We start from the raw sequence: 16,558 nt of genomic DNA, 5'->3' as shown, positions 1-16,558 counted from the left end.
AGGGAGAGAAAGGAGACTAGGTGACTCACCAGTTTCTGGTTTTGTATCTGGGAGAAGACAGCAGTAAAAGGGGAAGGAAACGAAGAAGGTAAGAGAATGAATATGTGTTGATTTCCTTCCATATTTCAAGCACCGTGTAAGGAATTTTACATTTTACTACTTTATTACTTTGTTTAATCTTCACAGCAAACCTGGATAATGAGTGTTTTAACCCTTTTTTTTTCCAGGTGAGAAAACTGAAATTCAGAGAGCTTAACCCATCAGGTCACAATCCTCACAGGTGTTTTTCAGACCCTGGCCTGGAAAAGGCATGTTGGAAGAGGGTGAGGGTGTCAGTTAACCCTGAAAGCCTGTTCACCATGGATGCCAGGGGCATCCTGCAGCAGATTCCACTCTCCATCTGCATTACAGCAGTGACCCTGAAGCCAGGGGAGGGTTTGTGTACACAGAAGAGCAAACTCAAAGCAGTCTGTTCCCAAGGCAACCCCATCTCAAAGAACTTCAAGGTGGACTTCTCCAAGAAGAACAAGGCTCGGTGTAATCCCTGGCCCCAGGTGAAGGGCATCCCTGGACCAGAACATCTTTCTAGCCTAGCCTCTCCCTAAGCATTCAAAGCTGATGTAGGAAGAGGAAGTATGCCTCCCTTCCCTGGTCCGGTATTGGCTCAGCCTGATGATATCTGATTCCCAGGGCCCCATGGAGCTGGGTCTCAGTCACGTCAAACAATTAGAGAAGTGGCAAAAAATAAGTAATTCAACTAGCAAGAGCCAGTCAGAATTTGAACCTAAGTCTATATGACCCCAAAGCCCATGTTCTTTCCACTTTCTCACATTGGACTAGTCACCAAGTTAGGTAACATAGGAAAAGTTAGTTTGTGGGGGATTGACAATTCAATTTGAGACATATTGAATTTGAGGTGTCTATGTGACATCCAAGTGGAGTCATCTAATAAACTGTTGGGTATATTGGCCCTTGTATAAGCTATCTAAACACTCTGAGCCTCAGTTTTCTCATCTGTAAAATGATGATATTACCTATCTTACAGTGTTAACACAGGCAAGGATTTTTACATAGTACTCTGCTCATACTGGGTACACAAGAAGAATAAATTAAGGGAGCAATTAATACCTATAATATTATACATAGTCTTTACCACAACCTTAAATCAAACATTTAAGGTTTGATTATATATTTTCTTTTAAGACCTAGGAATTCAATTTATGTATTCAGTCTTCATAATTAATCTGGAAGTGTCTCTGTAATAGGGACTCTCTTTTGTCTCTCCTTCTGGTGCCTAATCATGAGTGGACACTTGATAACTTATTGCTGGAGTAAATTGTCAACTGTGAAAATGGATTGGCACCCAAGTATGGAGGGCCCTTGTCCTTCTCCTGTAGTCTGTCTCCCAATTGGCGATACTACCATCCACTCAGTCACCCATGCCAGAAACCTGGAGTCATCTTTAATTCCTCGTCCTCTTTCTTAATCCAGGCACTCTAGTAGTCACCAAATTCCAATAATTCCACTTTCCATGTATTTCTCAAAACCCTCTCCTCCCCTACATCCTTCCACTATCTTAGCTCCAGCTTAATCTTCTCTCACCTACATTATGGCAATAGCTTTCTTCTTCTTCTTCTTTTTTTTTTTTTTTTTTTTTGGTAGGGGGGACGGAGTCTTCCTCTGTTGCCCAGGCTGGAATGCAGTGGTGCAATCTCGGCTCACTGCAACCTCTGCCTCCCAGGTTCACGCCATTCTCCGGCCTCAGCCTCCCAAGTAGCTGGGAGGCACCCGCCACCGTGCCCAGCCAATTCTTTGCATTTCTAGTAGAGACGGGGTTTCGCCGCGCTAGCCAGGATGGTCTCAATCTCCTGACCTCATGATCTGCCCATCTCGGCCTCCCAAAGTGCTGGGATCACAGGCATGAGCCACCACACCCGGCAGGCAATAGCTTACTAACTGGTCTCTTTGCCTTCAGTCCTACCCCCTCAAATCCAACAGCCAGCAGAGTAAATGATCTAGAATATAGACATGACAATGTCATTTCACAGCTTTCTCTTTCAAAGTTTCCTGATGGACTCAAAGTGTTTAGCCTGACACATGAGGTCTCCTGTGATCTGCCTACATCTCAGCCTTATATCCCACCTCTCCAGCCTTATCTCTTCCCACTCCCAGCCTGAAATGTTATACTCCAGTAAGAGAGGCCCGTCTGTGGTTCTACCATATCTACCTTTTTGTATCTGGCTTCTTGACCATCTCAGGTTGCACCCTCTGCCTGAACTGCCTTTTATATTCCCCCTAGCTAACTCATCATTACCCTGTAAAAGTCAACTCAGTTGCCACACCTCCAGAAAGCCTCTCCTGCCTCTTCCTCGACACCCCTTTTCCAAAGCAGAATTAGGTGCCCCGCTATTTCAGTGCCATAATGCTCTGTGCATGGCACCATCACTGATCTGACCATATTTCTTTATATCTGTGTAAAGGTCTGTCTCCCCCATTAGCGATTAAAATTCATGAGGGTAGGAGAGCATCTTACTCATCTTTTAACTCTAGTATCTAAGACATAGGTGGATTCTTGGTCAATATTTGTTGATTGAATAAATTAGTATGAATTGTCAGAGTCACAAAGACACCAACAGATACATACACATAAATATTCTTACCATCTCCCAAGGAACAGATCCAAGCATCTGTGCTCTCTGGAACTCAGTTTATTTCAAAATACAAAGTTATGCATAGTTAGATGCTATACCACTTGAGATTAGGGGTTCTACCAACTCATTCTGGTAACCTAAACAAGGATCTTTTTAACTCAGTCTCTCTCTCTGTGTGTGTGTGTGTGTGTGTGTGTGTGTGTATGACTCCAGCCTGCACTTGGGGTTTTAACTCATCTTTAGAGAAACATTAATTATAATTTAATGCAAATGAAGAAGCAGAAGACATAATAGCAAAACAAAGAAAAATAGGCCGGGCACAGTAGCTATTATTACAGGTGCACGCCTGTAATCCCAGCACTTTGGGAGGCCGAGGCGGGCGGATCACGAGGTCAGGAGTCCGAGACCAGCCTGGTCAACATAAACCCCAGCTCTACTAAAAGTACAAAAATTAGCTGGGTGTGGTCGCTCTGTCACCCAGGCTGGAGTGCAGTGCTGCGATCTCGGCTCACTGCAACCTCTGCCTCCCGGGTTCAAGTAATTCTCCTGCCTCAGCCTTCCACGTAGCTAGGAATACTAGCGTGCGCCACCATGCCTGGCTAATTTTTGTATTTTTAGTAAAGACAGGGTTTCACCACGTTGGCCAGATCTCTTGATCTCATGATCTGCCCAACTCGGCCTCCCAAAGTGCTGGGATTACAGGCATGAGCCACCCCGCCCAGCCAAAAAAAAAATATTTTTTAAAAATAGCACTTTATTATTATTATTATTAGAGATAGGGTCTTGCTATGTTGCCCAGGTTGGATTCAAACTCCTGGGCTCAAACCATTCTCTCCCTGTCTCCAGAGTAGGGGGATGTACAGGGCATGTCACTGTGCCCTGTGGTCACTCTGATTTGATTCTCAGCCCTCCCTAGTTAGGAAGTGAGAGGGCTCTTTCCGTAAGCTCTTACTTAGATCGTAGTCTCTCTCTCTCTCTCTTTTTTTTTTTTTTTTAGACGGAGTCTCACTTGTTCTGTGCCCAGGCTGGAGTTCAGTGGCATGATCTCAGTTCACTGCAACCTCCGCCTCCCGAGTTCAAGCAGTCCTCCCACCTCAGCCTCCCAATTAGCTGGGATTACAAGTATGTGCCATCATGCCCAGCTAATTTTTGTATTTTTAGTAAAGACAGGGTTTCACCATGTTATCCAAGCTGGTCTCGAACTACTGACCTCAAGTAACCTGCCTGCCTCAGCCTCCCAAAGTTCTGGGATTACAGGTGTGAGCCACCGTGCCCAGCCCCTAGTCTCTTAAAAACTTTTTTTGGGGGAGCCTTGTGGAACTGTCACACCTCTTCTTTTAGTACTGACATACTGCGTGTGAAAAAGCTTGCTCTGTCTGTCTGCCTGTCTCTCTCTCTCTCTCTCTCTTCCCAGCTTGTTCAGGATCTCTGTACACAGAAGGCTGCAGATGTAGCCTTAAACTCATCAACAGGGAAAATCTCGATGAGTCTAATAAGCAGCAGCTTCCAATGAGTCACAAGGTTCCCACCCACTGGAGTCCCTCCCCGTGTGCCACCAACCAGCACTTTTGTCATGCTGGGAAAACCTCCCACCCAGGCCTTTGCCCTGAGTCCAGGGTCTGTGCCCTAACCCCACAGTCACTGAGAGCAACTGGAGGCCACATAAAACAGACATCTCTTGTTTTCCAGATACTACGGGTCATAATCCCTAACTCCAATCACTGGCAACTCCTGAGATCAGAGGAAAACCAGCAACAGCGTGGGAGTTTGGGGAGAGGCATTCCATACCAGATTCTGTGGCCTGCAGGTGACATGCTGCCTAAGAGAAGCAGGTAGGAAATCTGTTGGGGACCAAAGACTAAATGTAATAAAATACAGATAATGCTGGGGGCTAGGCATAGTGGCTCACGTGTGTCATTCCAGCACTTTGGGAGGCCAAGGTGGGGGGATCGCTTGAGCCCAGGAGTTCAAGACCAACCTGGGTTACATAACAGACCCCATCTCTACAAAAAAGAAAGAAAAGAGGCCAGGCGCGGGAGCTCATGCCTGTAATCCCAGCACTTTGGGAAGCCAAGGTGGGAGGATTGATCACTTGAAGTCAGGAATTTGTTTTTTTGTTTTTTTGTTTTTTGTTTTGTTTTTTTGGGTTTTTTTTGAGATGGAGTCTCGCTCTGTCGCCCAAGCTGGAGTGCAGTGGCGCAATCTCGGCTCGCTGCAACCTCTGCCTCCCAGGTTGAAGCGATTCTCCTGCCTCAGCCTCCCAAATAGCTGGGACTACAGGCACATGCCACGATGCCCAGCTAATTTTTGTATTTTTAGTAGAGACGGGGTTTCACCATGATGGCCAGGATGGTCTCGATCTCATGACCTGGTGATCCGCCCACCTCGGCCTCCCAAAGTGCTGGAATTACAGGCATGAGACACTGCACCAGGCCTAAGTCAGGAATTTGAAACCAGCCTGGCCAATATGGTGAAACCCCATCTCTACTAAAAATAAAAAATTAGCTGGGCATGGTGGCGGGCACCTTAATCCCAGCTACTCAGGAGGCGGAGGCATGAGAATCACTTGAATCTGGGAGGCGGAGGTTGTAGCGAGCCAAGATTGCACCACTGCCCTCCAGCCTGGGTGACAGAGCAAGACTCAATTTCAGGGAAAAAAAAAAAAAGGAAAGAAAGGAATAAGAGAGGGAGGGAGGAAGGAAGGAAGGAAAAGAAAAAAATATCCTGGTGTGGTGGTGTGTACCTATAGTTCCAGCTACTCAGGAGGTTGAGGCAGGAGGATCCCTTGAGCCCAGGAGTGTGAGGTTACATTGAACTATGATGCACTCCAGCCTAGGCAACACTAGGCAACAGAGTAAGACTCTATCTCAAAAAACAGAACAAACAAATAAACAAAAAAAAATAAACAAAAAAACCAACCTGGGCAACATGGCAAAACCCCATCTCTACAAAAAAAATAAATAAATAAATAAACAAAAATTAGCTGGACATGGTGGTCTGGACCTGTAGTCCCTGCTACTCAGGAGGCTGAAGTGGAGGATTGCTTGAGCCCAGGAGGCAGAGGTTGCAATGAGCAGAGATCTAGCCTAGGTGACAGAGCAAGAACTTGTGTCAGAAAAAAAAGAAAAAGAAAAAGAAAAAGAAAACCACAAAAGATAACGCCAGGGATCAAGTCAAGGGCATGTTTGGTTTGGTTTGGAAAGAGACTCTCTAGAAGGGACAGAAAAGGGTCAAGGGTGGCCCAAAACTGACTGCTGACCCCTCCTACATTCAGGAGTCTGTGACAGCCACCCCAACACGTGACGTCATGGCCAGTAGGGAAGATGAGCTGAGGAACTGTGTGGTATGTGGGGACCAAGCCACAGGCTACCACTTTAATGCGCTGACTTGTGAGGGCTGCAAGGGTTTCTTCAGGTGAGAGTCTCCTCCCCAATGGAAATAGCCCTCCAAACCAAACTCCCTATTAGTCAGCCTTTACACCCTCGCTGGTGCCCAAGCCTGTCCAGCTACATTACTCCTTTATCTTAGAGTCTAACTACCCTGTGGCTGGCATCCTACATCTTGCCAAACACATCACTGTATAAACTGGTGGCATAACAGAGGGAAAGCTGAATGTTTGTCTGATGGACACAGCCCATTAGTCAAGAGCATTTATTATGTACCCACTGCCTGTGAAGCACCTAGCTAGTACTACATCAACTAGGCTTTCTGGAGTGATCCTGTGTTGCCATGGAAATGCTTGAGATGTGTTGGATACTATCCACCCCTGGGGACCTTTGGGCACAGCTCAGATTAGTCCATTTCACCAGATTCCCAGGTCTTTTAGACCATGTCATCTCAGCCCCTCACCTATCCATTGCATCCCAGACTCTAACAACATCTCTGTGTCTCACAGGAGAACAGTCAGCAAAAGCATTGGTCCCACCTGCCCCTTTGCTGGAAGCTGTGAAGTCAGCAAGACTCAGAGGCGCCACTGCCCAGCCTGCAGGTTGCAGAAGTGCTTAGATGCTGGCATGAGGAAAGACAGTGAGTTGGCCCCCTACATCTCAAGAATCCATTGACTGCGTCTGTCTTTGTCCTTGTTCCCAACAGTGCATTCTCTACATAGCAGGCACAGTACTCTTTTTGAAACTAGTTGGATTATGTCACTATTCACTCAAGACATCCAATGGCTCCCCATCTCAAAGTACGTGATCTCATGATCTAGCTCTCCCACAACACCTTTCAGACTTTATTTCATACTCTTCCCCCTTTACTCAACCAATTCTAGCCACACTGACTTCACTGTCATTCTTAGAAACACCAGGCCGGGCGCGGTGGCTCACGCCTGTAATCCCAGCACTTTGGGAGGCCGAGGCAGGCGGATCACGAGGTCAGGAGATCGAGACCATTCTGGCTAACACAGTGAAACCCCGTCTCTACTAAAAAAATACAAAAAAAATTAGCCGGCCGTAGTGGCGGGCGCCTGTAGTCCCAGCTACTCGGGAGGCTGAGGCAGGAGAATGGCGTGAACCCGGGAGGCGGAGCTTGCAGTGAGCCGAGATCGCGCCACTGCACTCCAGCCTGGGTGACAGAGCCAGATTCCGACTCAAAAAAAAAAAAAAAAAAAAAAAAAACACCAAGCGCACTCTTCCCCAAGGCTTTTCCACTTGCCATTTCCTCTACCTGAAATGCTTTTCTCCTAGATAGCCACATGGCTAGTCTTGTCTTTTCTTTTCTTTCTATTTTTTTTGATAGAGTCTCATACTCTGTTGCCCAGGCTGGAGTGCAGTGGCGCCATCTCGGCTCACTGCAACCTCCGCCTCCTGCGTTCAAGTGATTCTCCTGCCTCAGCCTCCTGCATAGCTGGGATTACAGGCATGTGCCACCACACCCAGCTAATTTTTTGTATTTTTAGTAGAGATGAGCTTTCACCATGTTGACCACGCTGGTCTCAAACTCCTGGCCTCAGGCGATCTGCCCACCTCCGCCTCCCAAAGTGCTCAGATTACAGGTGTGTTTTTTATTTTCTATCTGTTGAGTATAGTGCCTGTCACCTAGTAGGTGCTCAATAACTTAATTAATGCTTTCTCTGTGCCAGGTAACTGTGCTATGCTCCCAAAGGAGGATGTAACTGGGGCTCACGGAAGTTAATTTGCCCAAGTTAATTCAACTAAAAACTTGTGCAGGCCGAGCACGGTGGCTCACACCTCTAATCCCAGCACTTTGGAAGGCTGAGACAAGAGGATTGTTGAGGTCAGGAATTCAAGACCAGCCTGGTCAACAGAGTGAGATGTCCTCTCTAGGAAAAGAAGAAGGAAGAAGAAGTTGTACAGTCAGTATTCAAACTCAAGTTTACCTGACTCCCAAACTCTTGCTTTTTCCATATCACACGATTCTCACTATGGAAGAATGAAAGGAAACTGTAGAAGTCAAAGGATCTTGGTCTGAATTCAAGATCTTGGTTTGATCTTGGATCTTTTGCAGAAGTCAAAAGATTTTGGTTTGAATTCAATCTATATTACTTATTTTGTGACCTTGGTTCTGTCACCAGAATCTAAGCCTGTCCACATTTCTAAAAAATGTGATTGGGCTGGGTGCAGTGGCTCACGCCTGTAATCCCAGCACTTTGGGAGGCCGAGGTGAGTGGATCACTTGAGGTCAGGAGTTCGAGACCAGCCTGGCCAACATGGTGAAACCCCGTCTCTACTAAAAATACAAAAAAAAAAAAAAATTAGCAGGGCGTGATGGTGGGTGCCTGTAATCCCAGCTAGTCAGGAGGCTGAGGCAGGGAGAATTGCTTGAACCCAGGGGGCAGAGGTTGCAGTGAGCCGAGATTGCTCCATTGCACTCCAGCCTGGGCGACAGAGTGACAGACTCCATCTCAAAACAAAACAAAACAAACAAAAAAATATATATATACACATATATATACACATATATACACATATATACATGTATACACATATATATACATATATACACATATATATACACACACATATACACACACACACACACACACACACACACACACACACACACACACACACACATATATATATGATGAATACCAGCCCTGCCTATCCTGGGGTTGTTTCATTCAGTGGGATTTAACCTCAGAAGTTTTGAAATTTTGCTAAAACATCAGATAAAGGTTTATTTGAAAGGATTATTTGATTATTTTTGAAGGATTATTTGAAAACATCATATAAAGTGATGTTCTAGGTATGAAGACCCCTCCCTCTACACTGTTTCCCCAAAAGCCCTCGCACCTTTCCTCACATCTTTCATACTTTCCTCGCCACCCTTCCCTTCTCCCCCACAGTGCAGTTTTCTGCTGCAGTTCTTCACAGGTTGGTGGAAGTGTATAGGAGCCCCCTGCCTCCTGGAGCCTCTAGGACTTTAGCCAAGCCCAAGAAAGTCTCAGGAATTCCCCCCACTGCCCCCATCCTTCGTTGTGCAGGGCAGCTGAGGGGCCCCAGATCAGGGACCAGCAGAGAGAAATGCTCTGCTGGTCTCAACAGCTTTGTCATGATCTCTTGCCTGGCACAGTGATACTGTCGGCAGAAGCCCTGGCATTGCGGCGAGCAAAGCAGGCCCAGCGGCGGGCACAGCAAACACCTGTGCAACTGAGTAAGGAGCAAGAAGAGCTGATCCGGACACTCCTGGGGGCCCACACCCGCCACATGGGCACCATGTTTGAACAGTTTGTGCAGTTTAGGGTGAGCACCGACAGGATTTGGGTTGGAATACAACTAAAAGGGCACCCAAAAATGCTGGTCTGAAGGAGAGGGGTGTATGCCATGCACTGATACTGAGAACAGATCTCCAGAACCCCAGCCTGAGCAGGCTTCTCAGCAAGGAACTCTTCCAAGATAAGGCTGGCGAGGCCTAAAGGAGGGCCCTAGGGCCAGAGCCTCTAGCTAATGTTCTGATCATTGCAGCCTCCAGCTCATCTGTTCATCCATCACCAGCCCTTGCCCACCCTGGCCCCTGTGCTGCCTCTGGTCACACACTTCGCAGACATCAACACTTTCATGGTACTGCAAGTCATCAAGTTTACTAAGGACCTGCCCGTCTTCCGGTGAGTGACCTCCCCTCATCTTTCAGGAGGCAAACACTTCAGTAAATTGTATATCCACCCCGAAAAGTCACTGACTACAAATTATCACATGCGTCAGCCTTTCCAAGCATTAGGTCTTGAATTCCCAGCTTTGGTTTTAAATGTGCCAATCAGAACTGGGAGTTCTTCTCCATCTCTGAAGTACAGGCTTGCATCTAAAGTGCCCTTGAGGTGCCGCGCAGTGGCTCACACTAGTAATCCCAGCACTTTGGGAGGCGGAGGCTGGCAGATCGCTTGAGTCCAGAAGTTTGAGACCAGCCTCAGCAACATGACAAAACCCCAACTCTACAAAAAATACAAAAATTAGCTGGGCATGATGGTGGGTGCCTGTAGTCCCAGGTACTCAGGAAGCTGAAGTGGGAGGATCACTTGAGCCCAGGAGGTTGAGGCTGCAGTGAGCTCAGATAGCACCGCTGCATTCCAGCCTGGGTGACAGAGTGAGACTCTGTCTCAAAAAATGAAAGCTAAAAATAATAATAATAGGCCAGGCACGGTGGCTCATGCCTGTAATCCCAGCACTTTGAGAGGCCAAGGTGGGTGGATCACTTGAGCTCAGGAATTTGAGACCAGCCTGGCCAACATGGTGAAATCCGTCTCTACTAAAAATACAAAACTTAGCTGGGTGTGGTGGTGGGCGCCTATAATCCCAGCTTCTCAGGAGGCTGAGGCAGAAGAATCACTTGAACCCAGGAGGCGGAGGTTTGCTGTAGCCGAGATCAGGCCACTACATCCAGCCTGGGTGACAGAGCAACACTCTGTCTCAAAAATAAATTAATTAATAAGAATAATAATAAGGTGCCCTTGTCGGCTGGGCACAGTGGCTCACACCTATAATCCCAGCACTTTGGAAGGCCAAGGCAGGAGGACTGCTTGAGCCTAGGAGTTCGAGACCACCCTGGGCAACATAGTAAGACTCCATCTTTACAAAAAATAAAAACATATAAACAAACAAAAAATTAAAAAGTGGGCCGGGTGCAGTGGCTCATGCCTGTAATCCCAGCACTTTGAGAGGTCAAGGCAGGTGGATCACCTGAGGTCAGTAGTTGGAGACCAGCCTGGCCAACATGGTGAAAACCCGTCTCTACTAAAAATACAAAAAATCAGCCAGGCATGGTGGCACACGCCTGTAATCCAAGCTACTTGGGAGGCTGAGGCAGGAGAATTGCTTGAACCCAGGAGGCAGAGGTTACAGTGAGCAGAGATCACGCCACTGCACTCCAGCCAGGGTGACAGTGAGACTCTGTCTCAGAAAAAAAAAAATTGAAAAGTGTCCTTGTTTCCTGCTTTCCACAGTTCCCTGCCCATTGAAGACCAGATCTCCCTTCTCAAGGGAGCAGCTGTGGAAATCTGTCACATCGTACTCAATACCACTTTCTGTCTCCAAACACAAAACTTCCTCTGCGGGCCTCTTCGCTACACAATTGAAGATGGAGCCCGTGGTGAGATGGTGCTAGAGCAATAGGGGGCATGTGTCCTCATGGTACAGGATGTGGTCAGGTGACCTAGAGGCTCCTAATCCTAGTATCTCCCACAGTGGGGTTCCAGGTAGAGTTTTTGGAGTTGCTCTTTCACTTCCATGGAACACTACGAAAACTGCAGCTCCAAGAGCCTGAGTATGTGCTCTTGGCTGCCATGGCCCTCTTCTCTCCTGGTGAGCACCTCCCAAAGCCCAGAGCCTTTTGCTGCACCACCTCTGCCCAAATACTCAGCTCCTTGAGTCCATCCACCCAGGCCTTCTAGCCTAGCTATCAAACCTGCAGACTAGGTCTATCCCAGCCTCAGTCCCCGGGGCACCACGCAGGCCCACCCCTGCCACCCAACTTGTCCTTCCCAGCTCCCTATCTTACAGACCGACCTGGAGTTACCCAGAGAGATGAGATTGATCAGCTGCAAGAGGAGATGGCACTGACTCTGCAAAGCTACATCAAGGGCCAGCAGCGAAGGCCCCGGGATCGGTACGGTGGGACACTGAGGGCTTGGAGGCCACACCAGGGCAGGAAGGGGTTGGTGAAACATTGAGCTTGGGAGGAATGTTTTTTTACTGTCCTTTCCTTAGGGAATTCAGGTATCGTGGGGTCTAGTCCTTCCCCCTGGCCATCCCTGTCTCACATCGTTTCAGCATCCAAATTGCTGTATTTGGATACTGCTGTTTCATCTCACTTTTTCCAGATTTTTTTTTTATTCAGTACAGATGCAAAGTAGTAGCTCAGAGGCTCTGGGTAATAGCATTCCTGAGATTGATGACATCCATTACCTCACTAGTCCAACTTCTCCAGACTAACGCAGACTTTTCTCTTCCCTTGGCCTTTCCTCTCCTCGCCATTGGGCCAATTCCTTCGATTTCTCATTTCCCTTGAAGTTAGGGCCATTCACAGTTTCATGGTCAAAGCCAGTTCCAGGTTCAATAGTCTGTGATTTATCCAGGCTCTGAGGTATGCACCGCTTCTGTTTTGCTCGTTCCTCCAAGAGCTAGTTTGGCCAGAAAGGGGATGCTTTATACCATAGAACACATCCACCTTCTAGAACCTGCTCTAGAAGGCCAGGCCCTCAGATTCCACATGGTTGGAGTTCTGGCCAAGTCTGGAGCTTTCTTCACACTCGGCTCTCAGAGCTCTGGGTTCAGAAAAAACTGAGCATGGTGAGAGAAGACAGTGTCAGACCGAGGCCCCCTGGAGGACCTTTGGAACCTCTGATAGTCTGTCATACCAGAGCATGATTTTCTCTAATGTTCAGACCTGGCTTCACTGAGGAATAGTTCAGGGGATCAGGGCCTAGAGACAAGACTCCCAACTGCCTTATTTCCCTCCTGTTTTCCTGGCAACCCCACTACTTCCTCCAAAGGTTTCTGTATGCGAAGTTGCTAGGCCTGCTGGCTGAGCTCCGGAGCATTAATGAGGCCTACGGGTACCAAATCCAGCACATCCAGGGCCTGTCTGCCATGATGCCGCTGCTCCAGGAGATCTGCAGCTGAGGCCATGCTCACTTCCTTCCCCAGCTCACCTGGAACACCCTGGATACACTGGAGTGGGAAAATGCTGGGACCAAAGATTGGGCCGGGTTCAAAGGGAGCCCAGTGGTTGCAATGAAAGACTAAAGCAATAACTGCCTCTTCATGCGGTCATGGGGATAGTGGGGGTGACCATAGGAACAAAGTTGTTCTCTGGAAGCACAGAAGATGGGAAGGAGGAAACCTCAGGGCTAAGAGGTAAAGAAGCTCCTTCTGGGAATGGGTGGGCCCCACTTCCTGAGACCAAACATCTAGCCCTTCAGCCCTACTTTCCCAGCCTTGGGAGGCTCTGGGATGGAAAACAGGATGGTCAGCTAATCCCATGCAGGATTAACCAAAGGGAAAGGAAGAAGGAAGCCTGAGGGCAAGGGGTGCCGGGGGAATTCAGCCATACCCCTTAATCCTTCTCCCTTAGTCCACAGCCACAAGAGCATGGGGAAGGTGATACTGGGGCTGGTAGCAGAGGGGGGATCCTCAAACCTCTGCCTCATCAACTGCCCCTGTGGCAGCTCCAGTTCTGAGGAGGGCATGGTCCTGTCCACCACTCTGCTCCTGGGTCCTAGAGATCACCCAGCAAGGTGGGCTCTGAAGAGGGGCCTAGTCTTTGGCCCTAGGGCACCTGACTCAGAGGTTCCAGCTGCTGTGGGGGCTGGCTCTGGACAACCTCAGCCCACAGTGATGCTGAAGCCACAATGGAATCTGTTGCGCCAGTGATTGAGGAAGGCTCCAAGGGCTAGGGTGACAGGCAGAGGGGGCATCTTCTTCTCCAGCACAGCACCTACACACCAGTTACTATCCACCAAGCCTGTTGGGGGAGAGAATACCCACTAGATTATTTAACAGGGATTGGAGGAAATAGTCACCAGAAGTAAGGTCGAGCTTCCCTCCCTCCTCTGCATCCCCCATTCCTCAGGATAGCCAAATGTCTCCCAATAACCCTCACCTCTAAATACCATGTTGGCCTGGGGCAGAGTCAGGTGGTAACCAAAGGAGAATGTTGTGTCTTGTAGCCTTGTGTTTGCCTCAAACTCCACTCCAACCTGAACCTGAGAACCATGGGCAAGGATGAGAGAGAGATCAGTATCAGTGAAGACCAGAAGGGTCCTGATGGGGAATCAGCAGAATGGAGGCATGCATGTAAATATATACACAGCGTGGTAGGAAGAAAAATAGGTCAGCAGGGCGATAGAGGTCCAGATGAACAGAAGTTCATGACTGACTTGCTGACAAGGAGGGAATGAGATCAGAGGTCTCACCTGTTCATTTGCCCTGTGGTAGTAACTTGCATGGGCCCCGCCTGATCCCACATTCAATGTAGCTACCCAGTGTACAGCTGTAAAATCCAAAGTACAGAGGGGAAGGAGTGTTAACTGTAGTATGACACAGGCCAGGAACCCCAGAAAAGTCCAGAATTGCCCCCCACCACCACCACTACTTCACTTCGCCCCATACCCGAGTACTTCCCAGCCAGTGTCAAGATGGCCCCCTCTTCGCCTGGCCGCCGGTGATAAACTAGCTCTCCTCCCAGCACCAGCCGATGAGTGAGGCTCTGCAGGAAGTGAGCAACCATGATCACTGTGGGGGAATGGGGAGACATGGAGTCAGTCATAGAGACAATATCCAGACCTGCTCCCTCACTCCCAATAACCGCCACCCCAGCCTGCCCAAGAAGTTCCTTTTCTAAACTCCAAACTGTACAGAAGATGAAGAGGCATAGTAACATTAGCAAATGGGCCGCCAAGATAAAAAGAACCCTGTCCCAGTTCCTCACCCGACTCCCCAATCAGGTCAGGATTTCCTAGGGTCAGAGTGGCTGTGTAGTCATCTCCCCGATACTCGCCATCAAACTGCCATGTCAGGAACTTGGCCTGCTGCGTCTGGGTGGCAAGAGCAAGAAGTAAAATCTCCCTCCCTCTTTATGATCATTATAGACTCTGCTCCTCCTTCCAAGCCCTCAGAGCAGGAAACCCGTGGAGGAGAAAGAGGAAGTGCCTCAGGGGATGGAGGCAGGAACTGTGGTCACCTGGAAGACAGCCTTAGCTCGGAGCCGCTCTGCCAAGAGGAGCAAGACCTGGGCGTTCAGGCTGCCACTGCTGTCCATATCCCCTACCACAGTGGGGAACACCTGTGGAAGGGTGTACACAGTAGTAAGGCTGAGCCGGATGGCACCACTCAGCCTAAACCCAAATATAGAACTTCATTAAGAGTGCACAGCGCCCCCTGGTGGAGTCACAAAGACACACTCTGGGCTCTTCACAGAAAATGTTTCTCTACCCTCTCTCATTCAGAAAAGACACAGAGAATCAGGTTACGGCCCATTCCTCCCCATAACACACACAATTCCTCTTCCTCCAGACCTGGGTCCCAGATTGGTTTTTAGGGAGATGACCCAGGTGTGTGGAGCCCTCACCTCAGTGGGACTGAGCTGCCAATCCCCTGCATAGGCCGCATGGAGGTGATATCCCGGCAAGCCCAGGGCACTCATGTGTATAGTGTGCGCCACCTGAGGAAAAGAGGATTCAGTGGAGAAAAGCGCATTCCTGCTCCACTTCAATCCCTCATCCCACCCTTAGTCTTTTCCCCATCCAGAGGGCCTCTCAAGAATCCTAAATATTCCAACATATACAGAGAAGGTCATCGGATTAAAAGCAACAAGTCCCACAGGCACGGAGGTAAAGAGAACCCCACATCCTCCCTCATTTGTCCCACATAGACTGGCTAGGGCTGGAGTACAAAGGAAAGGAGAAGATGATCCAGGGACAGGAAAGGGGGAATAGTAAGGAGGGGCCAGAGAAGTGGGAGCACCTGGAAATGGCTGCTCAGAACCTTGTTGACAACGAGCTTCACTCCCTCCATCTGTGCTGGGAATACATCTGAAGGGGGTAGGGGAAGGGAAGGAATAAGCACAGACAAAGAACCCCTACCCCAAAAGATAGTCTCCCCTTTCAATCCCATAGGGAACACTTTGGAGGAATTAACCTCCTTTCAAGTCCTGCAATGAAATGCTCCACTTCATTTGGGCACCTGATCCTCCCTGAGGCTGCATGACCCAGCTATGATCTCCCCTTTCCTGCTCCCATCGCCGGACATCCGGCATTCAAGACCCTCCACTCCTCTGCCCCTTCATCCTGAGACACCCAAGTGCCAAGTTCTCACCTTTGCATAGACGGTGCAGCTCATCGAAGCTCCCAGGGTTGGGCAGGGGTTCCTCTCGGCGGGGGCTCCGGCGGGGCAAAGTCCCCATTGGTGCCAGGCCCAATGTGTTCCCCATTTTAGTCCAGAGGACTGGGAAGAGCCGAGGTTAGCCTGTGAAAGGACGCTATTGCCCCTTTACCCCCCAACGGGCCCCACCCCCCATTATCCGGCTCCCCAGCCTCAGAAACTTCCACATGGTCCGACGCTACACCTGGAACAGGAAGAGTAGGGAAGGAGAGCACTCATGGAGAGACAACCCTAGGCACACTCCCGCCCCATCTTTGATCTCTCACCCCCACTTGTCACCCTTGTCCTCTCTCCCTTTCTCTGATCCTAGCCCCCACCACAGACTTCACCTAGCTCCCTAGCCTCTCTATTCTTCATTCCCAGGCCCCAAGACCAGGCCCGCAATGGTGCAGTATCCCTTACCATCTCAGACCATCATGCTGCCCCTTTCCCCCCGGCACACCCCGGTCATCTTGATGGGGGCAGCCATCTTGAGTGATGGCAGAACTGCAGCTTCACGCTGCATTCTTAGCGTGGCCGTAAGCGCCATCTTTGAATCTGGCAAAGAAAGCTGTCAAAGACCCAACCCAACCC

General features: G+C 49.0%; 2 protein-coding genes and 1 non-coding gene across 24 annotated transcripts, besides 2 other annotated features; 1 reads left to right on the top strand and 2 right to left on the bottom strand.

Annotated features, from left to right (window-relative positions):
• Positions 4,321-12,855, top strand: NR1I3 (nuclear receptor subfamily 1 group I member 3). 17 transcript variants are annotated; one of them, NM_005122.5, is made up of 9 exons: positions 4,321-4,483; positions 5,926-6,065; positions 6,547-6,677; positions 9,186-9,355; positions 9,578-9,717; positions 11,050-11,195; positions 11,291-11,407; positions 11,606-11,711; positions 12,598-12,855. In NM_005122.5, exons 2-9 carry the CDS (start codon positions 5,959-5,961, stop codon positions 12,725-12,727), a joined length of 1,047 nt encoding a protein of 348 aa, NP_005113.1. In that variant the 5' UTR covers positions 4,321-4,483; positions 5,926-5,958; the 3' UTR covers positions 12,728-12,855. The 17 variants fall into 17 exon arrangements, with proteins under 17 accessions (NP_005113.1, NP_001070937.1, XP_005245754.1 ...); NM_001077469.3 differs by having other exon boundaries at positions 11,591-11,711; positions 12,752-12,855; XM_005245697.5 differs by having other exon boundaries at positions 11,591-11,711.
• Positions 11,778-16,464, bottom strand: TOMM40L (translocase of outer mitochondrial membrane 40 like). Of its 6 annotated transcripts, none has more exons than NM_032174.6 (10): positions 16,388-16,464; positions 15,920-16,169; positions 15,569-15,636; positions 15,174-15,266; positions 14,787-14,888; positions 14,535-14,640; positions 14,216-14,338; positions 14,020-14,096; positions 13,707-13,809; positions 11,778-13,568 (listed from the first exon to the last, which is right to left on the bottom strand). In NM_032174.6, exons 2-10 carry the CDS (start codon positions 16,032-16,034, stop codon positions 13,429-13,431), a joined length of 927 nt encoding a protein of 308 aa, NP_115550.2. In that variant the 5' UTR covers positions 16,035-16,169; positions 16,388-16,464; the 3' UTR covers positions 11,778-13,428. The 6 variants fall into 6 exon arrangements, with proteins under 6 accessions (NP_115550.2, XP_006711635.1, NP_001273302.1 ...); XM_006711572.3 differs by having other exon boundaries at positions 15,920-16,048; NM_001286373.2 differs by lacking the exon at positions 14,787-14,888.
• Positions 14,725-14,904: an enhancer, noted in NCBI's record as "active region_1988". NCBI's record gives its function as "activates an Ori minimal core promoter by ATAC-STARR-seq in GM12878 lymphoblastoid cells {active_cell/tissue: GM12878}" and the evidence as "EXISTENCE:reporter gene assay evidence [ECO:0000049][PMID:35858748]".
• On the bottom strand, positions 15,263-15,338 carry MIR5187 (microRNA 5187). Its single transcript, NR_049819.1, has one exon. It is a non-coding gene; the product is annotated as a microRNA 5187 (primary transcript).
• Positions 16,419-16,488: an enhancer, noted in NCBI's record as "active region_1987". NCBI's record gives its function as "activates an Ori minimal core promoter by ATAC-STARR-seq in GM12878 lymphoblastoid cells {active_cell/tissue: GM12878}" and the evidence as "EXISTENCE:reporter gene assay evidence [ECO:0000049][PMID:35858748]".

Source organism: Homo sapiens, chromosome 1 (assembly GCF_000001405.40).
Source record: "Homo sapiens chromosome 1, GRCh38.p14 Primary Assembly".
Classification (NCBI taxonomy): domain Eukaryota; kingdom Metazoa; phylum Chordata; class Mammalia; order Primates; family Hominidae; genus Homo; species Homo sapiens.
This window is presented reverse-complemented; position numbering and strand designations above follow the sequence as displayed.

What these genes read in the sequence shown, in the direction of transcription:
- NR1I3 (NM_001077482.3), top strand. Translation starts at nt 5,959, where the DNA reads ATGGCCAGTAGGGAAGATGAGCTGAGGAACTGTGTGGTATGTGGGGAC. An exon ending in AAGGACCTGCCCGTCTTCCG is followed by an intron (nt 9,718 to 11,049) that starts GTGAGTGACCTC and finishes TGCTTTCCACAG; the next exon opens with TTCCCTGCCCATTGAAGACC. An exon ending in CAGCGAAGGCCCCGGGATCG is followed by an intron (nt 11,712 to 12,597) that starts GTACGGTGGGAC and finishes CTTCCTCCAAAG; the next exon opens with GTTTCTGTATGCGAAGTTGC.
- TOMM40L (NM_032174.6), bottom strand. Translation starts at nt 16,034, where the DNA reads ATGGGGAACACATTGGGCCTGGCACCAATGGGGACTTTGCCCCGCCGG. An exon ending in GGCAGCTCAGTCCCACTGAG is followed by an intron (nt 14,889 to 15,173) that starts GTGAGGGCTCCA and finishes ACCCTTCCACAG; the next exon opens with GTGTTCCCCACTGTGGTAGG. An exon ending in GGCCAACATGGTATTTAGAG is followed by an intron (nt 13,569 to 13,706) that starts GTGAGGGTTATT and finishes CTCCCCCAACAG; the next exon opens with GCTTGGTGGATAGTAACTGG.